The sequence below is a fragment of the Homo sapiens genome, chromosome 12 (genome assembly GCF_000001405.40).
Source record: "Homo sapiens chromosome 12, GRCh38.p14 Primary Assembly".
Lineage (NCBI taxonomy): Eukaryota > Metazoa > Chordata > Mammalia > Primates > Hominidae > Homo > Homo sapiens.
In genome coordinates, this window is record NC_000012.12 from 493340 (window position 1) to 505368 (window position 12029).

General features: G+C 47.4%; 1 protein-coding gene across 1 annotated transcript in view, besides 1 other annotated feature; it reads left to right on the forward strand.

The window, feature by feature from the left end:
- B4GALNT3 (beta-1,4-N-acetyl-galactosaminyltransferase 3) overlaps window positions 1–12029 on the forward strand; it is a 103571-nt gene that overhangs the window by 33401 nt on the left and 58141 nt on the right. The window lies entirely within an intron of this gene.
- Window positions 8221–8936: an enhancer, noted in NCBI's record as "NANOG-H3K27ac-H3K4me1 hESC enhancer chr12:610726-611441 (GRCh37/hg19 assembly coordinates)". NCBI's record gives its function as "activates a minimal SCP1, AML or CMV promoter by ChIP-STARR-seq in naive H9 embryonic stem cells {active_cell/tissue: H9 hESC(naive)}" and the evidence as "EXISTENCE:reporter gene assay evidence [ECO:0000049][PMID:30033119]".

Here is a 12029-nt window from a genome sequence, read left to right on the forward strand (position 1 = left end):
GAAATGAAAATTAAAACAACAATAAGATATCACTACACACCTATTAGAATGGCCAAAATCCAAAATATTGACAACCTCAAATGCTGACAAGGACATGGAGCAACAGGAACTCTCATTCATTGCTGGTGGGAATGCAAAATGGTACAGCCACTTTGGAATTCAGTTTGGCAGTTTCTTTCAAAACTCAACATACTCTTACTTATTCCTTATTGTAAGGAACTAAGACCTTCTGTACAGTGTTGAAATATAATGGTTTTTTTTTTTTTTTTGGTTTTTCACGAGAAGGATATAATTCACCATTTTATCTAGCAAGATTTTGAAAACAATGAGAGCATCTCATCTCAGCCACTTTCCTTAGCAGTTCCTGCTTTTATTCATTTGCTTTTTATGTTGCCTCAGACACAGTTTTTATTTCATTAAAACATGAATTGTGCAGATTTGGAGGCAGTTTAAAAAAAATGAAAAGTAACAATAGATAGAGGTAGGGGGTGAGTTTTATTAATATCCTGGAAATTGATCACCCAATCAGCAGTAGAGTCCGTGTTGGAAAGGCAGTCCACACTTCTCCATAGTTCACTCAGCGTGAGGTTCCCTCAATGAAGTTCTCATTTTTAATGACATAGGTCATCATTAGAAAAAGGCCTGGTTGGCCAGGCACAGTGGCTCATGCTTGTAATCCCAGCACTTTGGGAGGTCGAGGCAGGAGGATCCCTTGAGCCCAGGAGTTTGAGACCAGCCTGGGCAACATGGTGAAACCCCATCTCTACAAAAAATACAAAAATTAGCTGGGTGTGGTGGTGTGCGCCTGTTGTCCCAGCTACTCGGGAGGCTGAGGTGGGGAGGTGGGAGGATTGCTTGAGCCCGGAAGGTCAAGGCTGCCGTGAGCCATGATCGTGCTACTGTACTCCAGCCTGGGCAGCAGACAGAGTGAGACCTTGTATAATACCTTGAAAGAAAAAAAAAAAAAAGCAAGAAACAAAGGAAAAGGTCTCATTGTCCGTTCTTAAATGTAAAGACTCTTAGCTTCATCAGTCAGCGTTCACATTGCATCTGGGGTCCCAAACAGCCAACCCCTTACATTAAACTAAATTCTGCTTAACCAGCTCTCACACTGAACTTAGAAGCCAAGAGTTCAGGAGTATGAGCGCTGGAGTCTCCCTCCCTCTTCCTCCATTTTCTACCATCCCATAGTAGTCATGCAGGATTGGGTGGGACCATAGCTTAAGGTGTTGAGGCCAGCACCCAGGTATAACTTGTATGGCTTCGGAGAATTTCCTGAGCATATGGTTTTCCCCATCTCAGAGACCCGTGTAGTACTGGACGCTGGGACATTGGAACAGGAGTGTAGGAGAAGACCCACAGATTGTCCCCTTGTCACCAGCCCTATCAATCAATGCACACCAAAAACTGGAGCACCAGGCTCCTGAGGCAGTGATGGGGGGAGTAAACTGGAAAGGCTGACTGGGGCCTAATGTGTGCGGGGGGGAGTCTTTATTCTTATGTATTCTTTGATAACAGAATCATTAATGAGAGCATTGTCCGGATTTAGTCTCAGGTTTCACTCGTTAGGTTGAAAATGTGAAAAGCCTCTACCCCTTTAGCTACAAGTGAGGAAACCTGGGTATAAAAAGGAGGCCTGGAGTTCTTGTTCTGGCTCTGCATAGCGTAAGCACAGTGCCGGCATTTTACTATTAAATAATAAGAATGTGTGGACCACTTTCTGTGTTCCTGGCACAATGGATGCACTTTGTATGTGGCAGCTCATTTCAATCTCAGAGCTTCCTTCTCTTTTACAGATTAAATAAACAGAAGCTCAGAAAGGTTAAATAACTTGTCTCAAGTTACACAGTCACACTGTAACAGCCAGGATTTGAAACCAGGTCTATCTGACTTCAGAACCCATGCTCCTAGTCACCTCAGGTCTGCCCCCTAAAAGGGTTTGCTTTAGGGGTTCAGTTTCCTGGGGAGGGGTTTCCAGTTGCTCTCTTTGAGGTTTCTCATTTCCTCCTGAATTCTTGGGTCGTTCTTTTTCCCCTTAGTCCCCCTAACTTTCTTTGTAAACCTTAGTTCAGCTGATCAATGTACCCTCCGCCAAACGTACCGTAAGAAACAAAAGGGTCATCTAGACCTCAGGCATGCAATAGGTGAGGTAAAATTACCTCTAAGGTTGCCTCCTATTTTCAGCACTTGGAAGTACCTGCTGTGTTTCTAGGCCTATGCTTGGGGCTGTTGTGTACAGCTATGCAGGTTGTTCACTGCAGAGATGCTCCCTTCTTAGGGGGTGAATGCGGACCAGACTCTAGCATGAGCTTCACTTGCCAAACTGCGTGCCTGAGGGGAAGGCACAAAGACACTGGATGGGTTAATGGTAGCCCTGACTCTGCTGGGCTCAGGGGTAAGTCTGGCCCTTGGGTAGCTTTCTTATCTTTATTTAGAAAAGTATCCCCATGAAATAATGGAAGCCGGGTCTGCAGCTCTGCTGTGTTGCAGGTAGTGTGAGGAGTGCAGCAGGTGCTCAGCTACCAAGAATTACAAGAAGATCAATGTTCATGAATGATATACATTTGAAAAGTTTACATGTATTAAACTTTATTGACAGTATATATTTGTGTTTATATGTGCACATCTATAAATATAAAAGCAGATTCACATCATTCTCCTCCCTTGTATTCCAATACACTTTCTTGAGGGGTACATAAAAGGTTGGAATTTGTTAGCTCCTTCAGAGTTGCAGAGAACCCTAAATATGCCCATATATGTGTCATGCCATGTCCCCTGTCCAGGATCATGGCAGAAAAAGATCCAGAGCTGTGGAATTCGCGAACAAATGGTAGCAATGTAGTCCCTTGTCCATCTCTAGCTCTCACTTTTCTTTTCTGGTATCCAGCAGCCTTGGTCCCTGGGCTCCCTGGATGTCTTCATTTACTCTTAAAAAAAAAATTGAGCTGGATTTCATGTAACATTAACTTTTAAAGGGTACAATTCAGCGGTGGCACATGCATGTAGTCCCAGCACTTTGGGAGGCCGAGGTGGGCAGATCACTTGAGGTCAGGAGTTCAAGACCAGCCTGGCCAACATGGTGAAACCCCGTATCTACTAAAAATACAAAAATTGTCCAGGCGTGGTGGCACACACCTGTGATCCCAGCTACCTGGCAGGCTGAGGCAGGAGAATTGCTTGAACCTGGGAGGCGGAGGTTGCAGTGAGCCAATATTGCACTCTGCACTCCAGCCTGGGTGACAGAACAAGACTCCATCTCAAAAAAAATAAAAAAATAAAGTGTACAATTCAGCGGCATTTAGTACATATACAATGTTGTACCACCGTCACCTCTGTCTAGTTCCCAAATATTTCCGTCACCCCTAAAGGAGACTCTGCCCATGCGCGTTAAGCAGTCACTCCTTCCCCTTCCTCAGACCCTGGCAACCTCTATTCTGCCTTCTGCGTCTGTGGATTTACCCAGTCTTGTGTGTGGCTTCTTTCACTTAGCATGACGTTTTCAAAATTCATCCATGTGTAGCATGTTAGTACTTCATTCGTTTATTCTATTTATTTAGAGACAGGGTCTTGCTCTGCCGCCCAGGCTGGAGTGCAGTACAGATCACGGCTCACTGCAGCCTCCAATTCCTGGGCTCAAGGGATCCTCCCACTCAGCTTCCTTCACTTTCAATTTTTTGTAGAGACGGGTTCTTGCTGTGTTTCTCAGGCTGGTCTCAAACGCCTGGCCTCAAGCGATCCTTCCACCTCAGCCGCTGAGAGTACTGGGATTACAGGCGTGGGCCATCGCTCCTGGCTTTCATTTATTATTATTATTTTTTTAATTATTTTTTTGAGACGGAGTTTCGCTCTTGTTGCCCAGGCTGGAGTGCAATGCCGCGATCTCGGCTCACTGCAACCTCCGCCTCCCGGGTTCAAGCGATTCTCCTGCCTCAGCCTCCTGAGTAGCTGGGATTACAGGCACGTGCCACCATGCCTGGTTAATTTTGTATTTTTAGTAGAGACGGGGTTTCTCCATGTTGGTCAGGCTGTTCTCACTCAGGTGAACCGCCCGCCTCGGCCTCCCAAAGTGCTGGGATTACAGGCGTGAGCCACTGCACCTGGCCCCTTCATTTATTTTTAAGGCTGAATCATATTCCATTGTATGGATATGCCACGTTTTGTTCACCCATTCATCTGTCAATGGACATTTGGGTTGCTTTCACCTTTGGCAATTGTGAATAATGCTGCTATAAACACTGGTGTACAAATATTTGTTTGAATATCTGTTTTCATTTCTTTTGGGTATAGACCCAGGAGCGGAATTCCTGGGTCCCGTGGTAACTCTGTTTAACTTTCTGGAGAACCGGCTTTGTTCATTGTTGTTGAGCACCGAGCCAGGTGGTCACTTTTCCTCATGCTTGACCTCCCGCTCTTTGTGTCTAAGTCAGGAGGTAGTCATTTTGTTTGTCTTGTTTTCAGCACCAGCATTCCCAGGCCCTGCATCCCTGGGCTGTTTTTGTTGCTCTCCTGTTCAGTAGCACAGCCACTCTAGAAAGTGTTTTGATTCTTTACCCTAACCACTTCCTAGCCTGTTTACAGCCACTGGATTCCTAAAGTCTCCTCCTGGGTATGACACACACTCGATTTCTCAGTCTCTTCTGATGCCTCCCCACCCACAGCTTCCAAACCCACCCCTGATTTCCCATTCAGTGACTAAACAATAAACAAACCTTCCTCTACTTCTCCAGTTTTATACACACACGCCCCTTCACTGCCCTGTCGGTTGCGAAGTTCTTCATGCTGTCTCCTGGGCTTACTAGTACCTTGGCAGTGCCCCACAGTTGCCCCTGAAGAGAGATTGTTTTTCTGTCTTTCCATTCGATGCTGTTTCTGATTGCGTATCATGAAGCCAGCCTTGTCACTGGCTCTTCCTGCCGCTGAGAGGTGATTTTGAATGAGATGCTATCCCTCCCCAGCTACCTCTCCACCATGTCCGCCCAAGTCCAGTTGTCACCCAGAGCCCAGACACTTCAGAAGCAGCTCACTGAGAGGCCACTGTGTGCTGGCTTTGGATGCTCCAAACCCTCTACCATGCACTAGAATGATGCCCTCTGGACCACGGTTAATTTAAATAACTCCATCTGTGGCCCCATCTCTAGTTGACTTCCTGTTTTTGTTTTGTTCTGATTCCTGTGTGTTGTCCACACCCACATTGCTAGTTTTTTACTAGCTTTAGGAGACAAGGATCCCTGTGTGTATAAGATAATGGTCTTGGGGCAGGAGGAACAGGCATCATAGAAGGAAGAAAAGTTCCAGATTGGAATGACAAGCTGAGAAAAAGCAGTATGTGGGGCGACGCTAGCTGGTGGAAGACCTGGAAGACGAAGGTGGAGGAATTTACCTTTGATAAAGCAGCGTTTATAACTTTGTCTTTTTGGATGTTCCCGCGTCTGTCTTTAAGAGGTTCCTTCAAGCACGCTGGACAGCCAGGGGCTTTCACCGTGGGTCAGAGAGCACCATTCTCGTGCATGGTACAGGGCTGGGAGCGTCCAAAGCCAGCAGACTGTGGCCTCACAGTTTCCATTGCCCTACCCTGGAAAGAATCTTCATGATGGTGTCAGCTGGACAGTAGAATTGGGAAATCCAATGATGAATGGCAAGTTGGTGGATCTGGGGACAGGATAATGGAGCTTTGGCATACAGAGAGGACACAAAATCTGGTGGGGTATTCTAGAGCAGGGCCCAGAGCCCTTCATAATGTATAATTTGAGATGAGAGTTTTGGGGGAGGATAGAGGGGCATTTAGGGATTGGTGCTGTCCCTTCAGGAAGTTTGAGCTGGTGAGCAGGTGGAATCATGGAAATTGCCTACCTGGCTGTGGTCACTCTTACCTTTGTGTATTTAATTTAGGGCAGTCAAAAACTTAAGATCCATGCAGGTAGCTTCAGTCAAAGAAGCAGATATAAGTGTGAACACATACTCTGTGTGAGGTATGAGGACTGTGGTGCAAGGGGAGAGCCCGTGCTCTCACTATCTAGAACAGTCCTAGCCCGTGGAGCCCGTGCTCTCACTATCTAGAACAGTCCTAGCCCGTGGAGCCCGTGCTCTCACTATCTAGAACAGTCCTAGCCCGTGGAGCCCGTGCTCTCACTATCTAGAACACTCCTAGCCCGTGGAGCCCGTGCTCTCACTATCTACTAGCCCGTGGAGCCCGTGCTCTCACTATCTAGAACACTCCTAGCCCGTGGAGCCCGTGCTCTCACTATCTAGAACACTCCTAGCCCGTGGAGCCCGTGCTCTCACTATCTAGAACACTCCTAGCCCGTGGAGCCCGTGCTCTCACTATCTACTAGCCCGTGGAGCCCGTGCTCTCACTATCTAGAACAGTCCTAGCCCGTGGTAGGCACTCAAACAAAACAATATTTGTTAAGTGAATGAATAAAGGAGTGGTCACTTTATTGGCTCCAGCGCTTACTTTCCATTTGGTTATAGGCCCTGTTTTGCCCATTTGCCCTACTTTTCAAGAGAAACAAGAAATTGAGGGTTTTATGTGAAATTTCCCAAGTTTTAAATGTTGGCTCAAATTTTTCTAAAATACAGTGAGCTAAAGTCAGGAGGCAGCTGTTTTATTTTTCTTGTTTTCAGCACCAGCATTTCCCAGCCCTGCCTCCCTGGGCTGCTCTTGCCGAGGCTTGCTGGCCATTCTCTTGTTGCTCTCTTGTTCGATAGCACAGCATCCTCTAACGTTAGGATTTTGCAACTTCTAACTTAAGGCTTTCACCTCCAGCAGATGCACAAACTTTTAGGAGAAGCAGCTTTTTTTTTTACGTTTAATTTTTTTAAGAGTTGGGGTCTTGCTCTGTCACCCAGGCTGGAGTACAGTGGAGCAATCATACCGCACTGCAGCCCCAAACTCCTGGGCTCAAGCGATCCTCCCGCCTTGGCCTCCCAAAGTGTTGAGATTACAGGCATGAGCCACGCCCAGCCAGAAGCAACTCTTTAAAATCTTATCTTTCACTTATCAACCTGGATAAAGGTTCTGAAAGCAAGTTTCAACAGGAGGTTCATGGGAGGATCACATCTAAGGTTCTGATGCCTTAAATTGTGGTTGTGGCTTGGTTTCTCTAATGGCTTTCTGCTGAGCCTAGTCCTGCATGTAACAGGGCTCCAGTGGCAGGTGGTGGGAGCCAGGATAACTGAGCTGGGCAGAATGATGCAGTGGGCAGAACCTTGGCTTTCTAGTATGGACATTCGGCTGGTACACACCTTCCGGTCATTCCACTTATGCTGAAATACTGAAATATTTCTGTATTGGGAGGTAAATAGCTACTGCCCTGAATCCCGTGGGTGCCCCAACCCGGGACCCACCAGGCCTTCATACTATCCAGCAATGAATGGGGTCATGCCTGGCTACAGTGTGTCTCTAGGACCGTGCTTCAAGGCCAGGGCTGGCATCCATTCTCAGTGCTCAATGCCCGTATTATGGTGCTGTAAGCATTTTGAACTCACCCCTGGATAAATCTGAATTTGAATCCTGGCTCCACTGCTTTTTTTTTTTTTTTTTTTTGACACAGGGTCTCACTTTGTCACCCAGGCTGGAGTGCAGTGGCAAGATCTTGGCTCACTACAACCCCCACCTCCCAGGTTCAAGCGATTCTCCTGCCTCAGCCTCAGCCTCCTGCGTAGCTGGGATTACAGGCTCACCCAGCCACTCCCGGCTAATTTTTGTACTTTTTGGTAGAGACAGGGTTTCACCATATAGGCCAGGCTGGTCTCGAACTCCCAACCTCAGGTGATCCACCCCCCTCAGCCTCCCAAAGTGCTGGGATTATAGGCGTGAGCCATTGCGCTGGCCCCACTTTTTACTTGGCTAAGTATTTACTGACAAATTACTTAATCAATGTCTCTCAGCTTATTTCCTTCTTCCATAAAAGAGGGTCTTTCCTCCATAAAAAGGAATACTACTACTAAAACTAATCTATTTGCAGGGTTGTTGTGAAATGTAAGTGTGTAACTGAGATAAGGCTACTGTTATTATTCTACACTCTAAACAGGAAAACAGCATCCTTTGTACCTTATCTTTATACAAAGGCTTGGAGAAATAGGGATCAGATTAGCCAGGTGTGGTGGCGCACACCTGTTGTCCCAGCTACTCGGGAGGCTGAGGAGGGAAGATCACTTGAGCCCAGGAGTTCGAGGCTGCAGTGAACTATGTTTGCACCACTGCACTCCAGCCTGGGCAATAGAGTGAGACTCTGTCTCAAAATAAGAAAAAGGAAAAAGAAATAGGGGTCAGAGAACTAGAGGCTGAGGATTGCACAGTGACATGACCCACTGGGTCCCAAAAGTCGGTGGTGCCCAGTTGGCCACTCAACTAGGGAGATTGTTAAATACAGATGCCCCTACATTTAGAATGAGAAATTCTAATTCAGGAGGTCTGGGTAGAGTCCAGGAATCATTGTTTTTACCAAGTGCCCTGTGATGATCCTGATTAAGAGCTGAATCTGGGAACCATGCTGTTCTCTTGTCGGTCATCTCTGCCTGTGTTTCTTCACACAGAACCGGTGCAGGCGGTACTGTACTTACGGCAGGTGCTCAGTCCACCAGGGTGACTTGATGGATTCACGTGAATCCATGAGTGGGCCTGGGCCAGCTGAGGCAGGGCCTTCCCCTCGCCCTTTATTGCTGCCTCTGTCACAGACTTCATTCCGTCTCCTAGGTGGGATCTAGGCCTCTCCTAAGGCTGAGAGCACAGGACAGGGGAGAACAAGCCTGAGCCTCTTGCTGGGCTTCAGGATAAACCAGACACACAGAATGAGGATTGAGTTGCCTTCCCAGGAGGTGGAGATCTGAGCTAGGCAGATTAACTTGTTTATGAGGGTGTTCTCCATTGCATTCCCCCCGGGCATGGACCCAGTTGGCTGACCTTGTGTGGACCACCTGTTGACAGGGCTTCCTGTGTCCCAGCGTCCTGCAGCCCTCGGCATCAGGTGCTCTGACTTGGAGCAACTGTCGTAGTTAAGCGCCTCTTCTGCCTGGCAGCTGCGCTCATTGCCTCCTAATTATACGCTCTGGGGCCTCCCTTGAAGGTAAAATATTATATCACAGCTTTAGGGGTCTGCTTCCAGTGTTGCATTGGTTCCAAATGATGAGGACAGGCAAGAGGTGTAGGGACACAGGGCTGAGAGACATGTTAAGAGACGGATACAAAGGGATTGGAAAGAGAAAGGAGAAACAGGCGGGTGAAAGATGAAATGTTAAGAGAAAGACTGAGGAAGAGGGAGGCCAAGAAAGACATGAAGCAAGGGAAGTTAAAATCTGGAAGGCAGTGAGTGGTGTTCTTAGCACAGATTTGCAGAGGGTAGCGACCCTTGCTATTATTTCAGGAGGAGTGACACGTGAGCACTTTTTCCTTTTTGTTTAAACAAGTTCTTTTATTTTATTTTGTCTTTTTGAGAGGGTGTCTTGCTCTGCCACCCAAGCTGGAGTGCAGTAGTGTGATCATAGCTCACTGCAGCCTTAATTCCTGGGCTCAAGCAATCCTACCACCTCAGCCTCCAGAGTAGCTGGGACTACAGGCGTGAGCCACTACCCTGGCTAATTTTTTTATTTTTATTTTTTGTAGAGATAGGTTCTTGTTGTGTTGTCCAGGCTGGTCTCGAACTCCAAGGCTTAAGCTATTCTCCTGTCTTGGCTTCCCGAAGTGCTGGGATTACAGGTGTGAGCCACTGTGCCCTCCTAAACAAGTTCTTGAGTAGGAACTAGCAGCTAGACAAGATGCAGTGACTCAACAGAGGCAATAATAGGAAGTTTTGGGTTTGCAGCTGCTGGCTGATGTTTTCTACCCTGTTTCCCAGCAAGGAAATCCTGGGGATTGTGAGCGTGTGCGCAGTGACTCACATGACCACAGCCTCCCTGGTTTACAGTCCCAGCCCTGCATACCTGTTCTCTCACCGACACACCTATCCGCTCAGTGACCACACCTCACAATCTCAACTCTGCCCCAGCCACCAAGCCATGGCTGCCACTCACACAGCCTCTTTTTCACTCTGTTGACAGCCACCTCCCTCCTCAAAGCCCATGTTTCCTGGGAGCTGTGACTTCTCTGCCATCAGCTGTCAAATCCTCCGCAGGCTCTTGCATAAAGCATTTTTCCTGTCTGCATCTCAGATTTCTGACCTGTAAAATGAACCTCAGGCTCACTGCTCACGCCTCTTTGCTGTGTGGAGCAGTGAATTAATGTCTTTAAGGAACTTGTTGCTTGTTGGATGAAAGATGCCAAAGTCAGCTTTGCTCCTCCACCCCCACCTGCACTCCTAACAGCCAAGCCCTCCTTTCTTACTGTTTACCATACAGATAAGCTCGTGATGACTAGAGCAAGTCATTTAAGGTCTGTGAACCTGGGTGGACCTCAGTTCCCCAATCCACTGATCTCTGAACAGCTGCCTCCCATTCACCTGGCAGCATTTGACACTGTTGACCACCTACTGCCTTCTTCTTAAAAGTGTAAAAGTGGCCGGGCATGGTGGCTCACGCCTGTAACCCCAGCATTTTGGGTGGCTGAGGTGGGTGGATTGCCTGAGGTCAGGATTTCGAGACCAGCCTGACCAACATGGTGAAACCCCGTCTCTACCAAAAATACAAGAATTAGCTGGGTGTGGTGGCACGCGCCTGTAGTCCCAGCTACTTGGGAAGCTGAGGCAGGAGAATCACTTGAACCTCGGAGACAGAGGTTACAGTGAGCCGAGATCATGCCAAGGCACTCCAGCCTGGGAGACAGAGTGAGACTCTGTCTCAATTAAAAAAAAAAAAGTGTTAAAGTAACACATGCTCATTGCTTAAAAAGAAAGAAAAGTGAAGGCTGAGGCAGGAGGATCACTTCAGCCTGGGAAGTCGAGGCTGCAGTGAGCTGAGATTGCATTACTGCACTCCAGCCTGGGCAACAGCGAGACCCTGTCTATAAAAAAAAAACAAAAACAAAAACACAATTTTTCAAAAAAAAAAAAAAGAAAATGAAATCCAATACTATACACCAGAATTTAAGTAAAATATAAAGACCACTAGTCCTCTCACCTCTATACAATCATGAAACGTGTCTCAAATCCAGCCTCCTCTCTCCACCCCGCAGCCGCCCCCCCGCCCCCGAACTCTTTTTTTCTGAGATGGCGTCTCACTCTGTTGCCCAGGCTGGAGTGCAGTGGTGTGATCTCAGCTCACTGCAACCTCCGCCTCCCGGGCCCAAGCCATCCTTCCACTTCAGCCCCCAAATAGCTGGGACTGTAAGCACGGGCTACCATGGCTGGCTAATTTTTAGCCCGGGAATTTGAGTCTGCAGTGAGCTTTAAATTGCACCCCTGCACTCCAGCCTGAGCAACAGAGTGAGATTCTGTCAAAAAAACAAACAAACAAAAAAACCCCACATACTGTTATTAATTATCATCACCATGTTGTCAAATCTTCTCTTTCTGAACCCTTCTGCCCTTAATTCCCTTAACCCTTCTGTCTCTTAACCCTTCTGCCCTCCCCCACAAAAACCCTTGTGTGAAAATGTAGTCTTAAAAAGAATTCATCACAGGTTTTTTTTTTTTTGAGATGGAGTTTCGCTCTTGTTGCCCAGGATGGAGTGCAGTGGCGCGATCTCGGCTCACTGCAACCTCCGCCTCTTGGGTTCAAGCGATCCTCCTGCCTCAGCCTCCCGAGTAGCTGGGATTACAGGTGCACACCACCACGCCTGGCTAATGTTTTCTGTATTTTTAGTAGAGACAGGGTTTCACCATATTGGCCAACATGGTCTCAATCTCCTGACCTTGTGATCTGCCTGCCTTGGCCTCCCAACGTGCTGGGAGTACAGGCGTGAACCACCACGCCTGGCCTCACCAGAGGTTTTAACAGATGTTCTATACTATGTAATGAGTGAATTAATTAGTTATTTGGTAGCTCTGTTTTGAGACAACTTGGGGCTTCCCTCTCCTCCTAGAATTAACTAACAGCTGGTGAAAGAGCAGAGGGACAGTGACCACCAGGCCAACCTCGCCCAGAGAACTGACAGC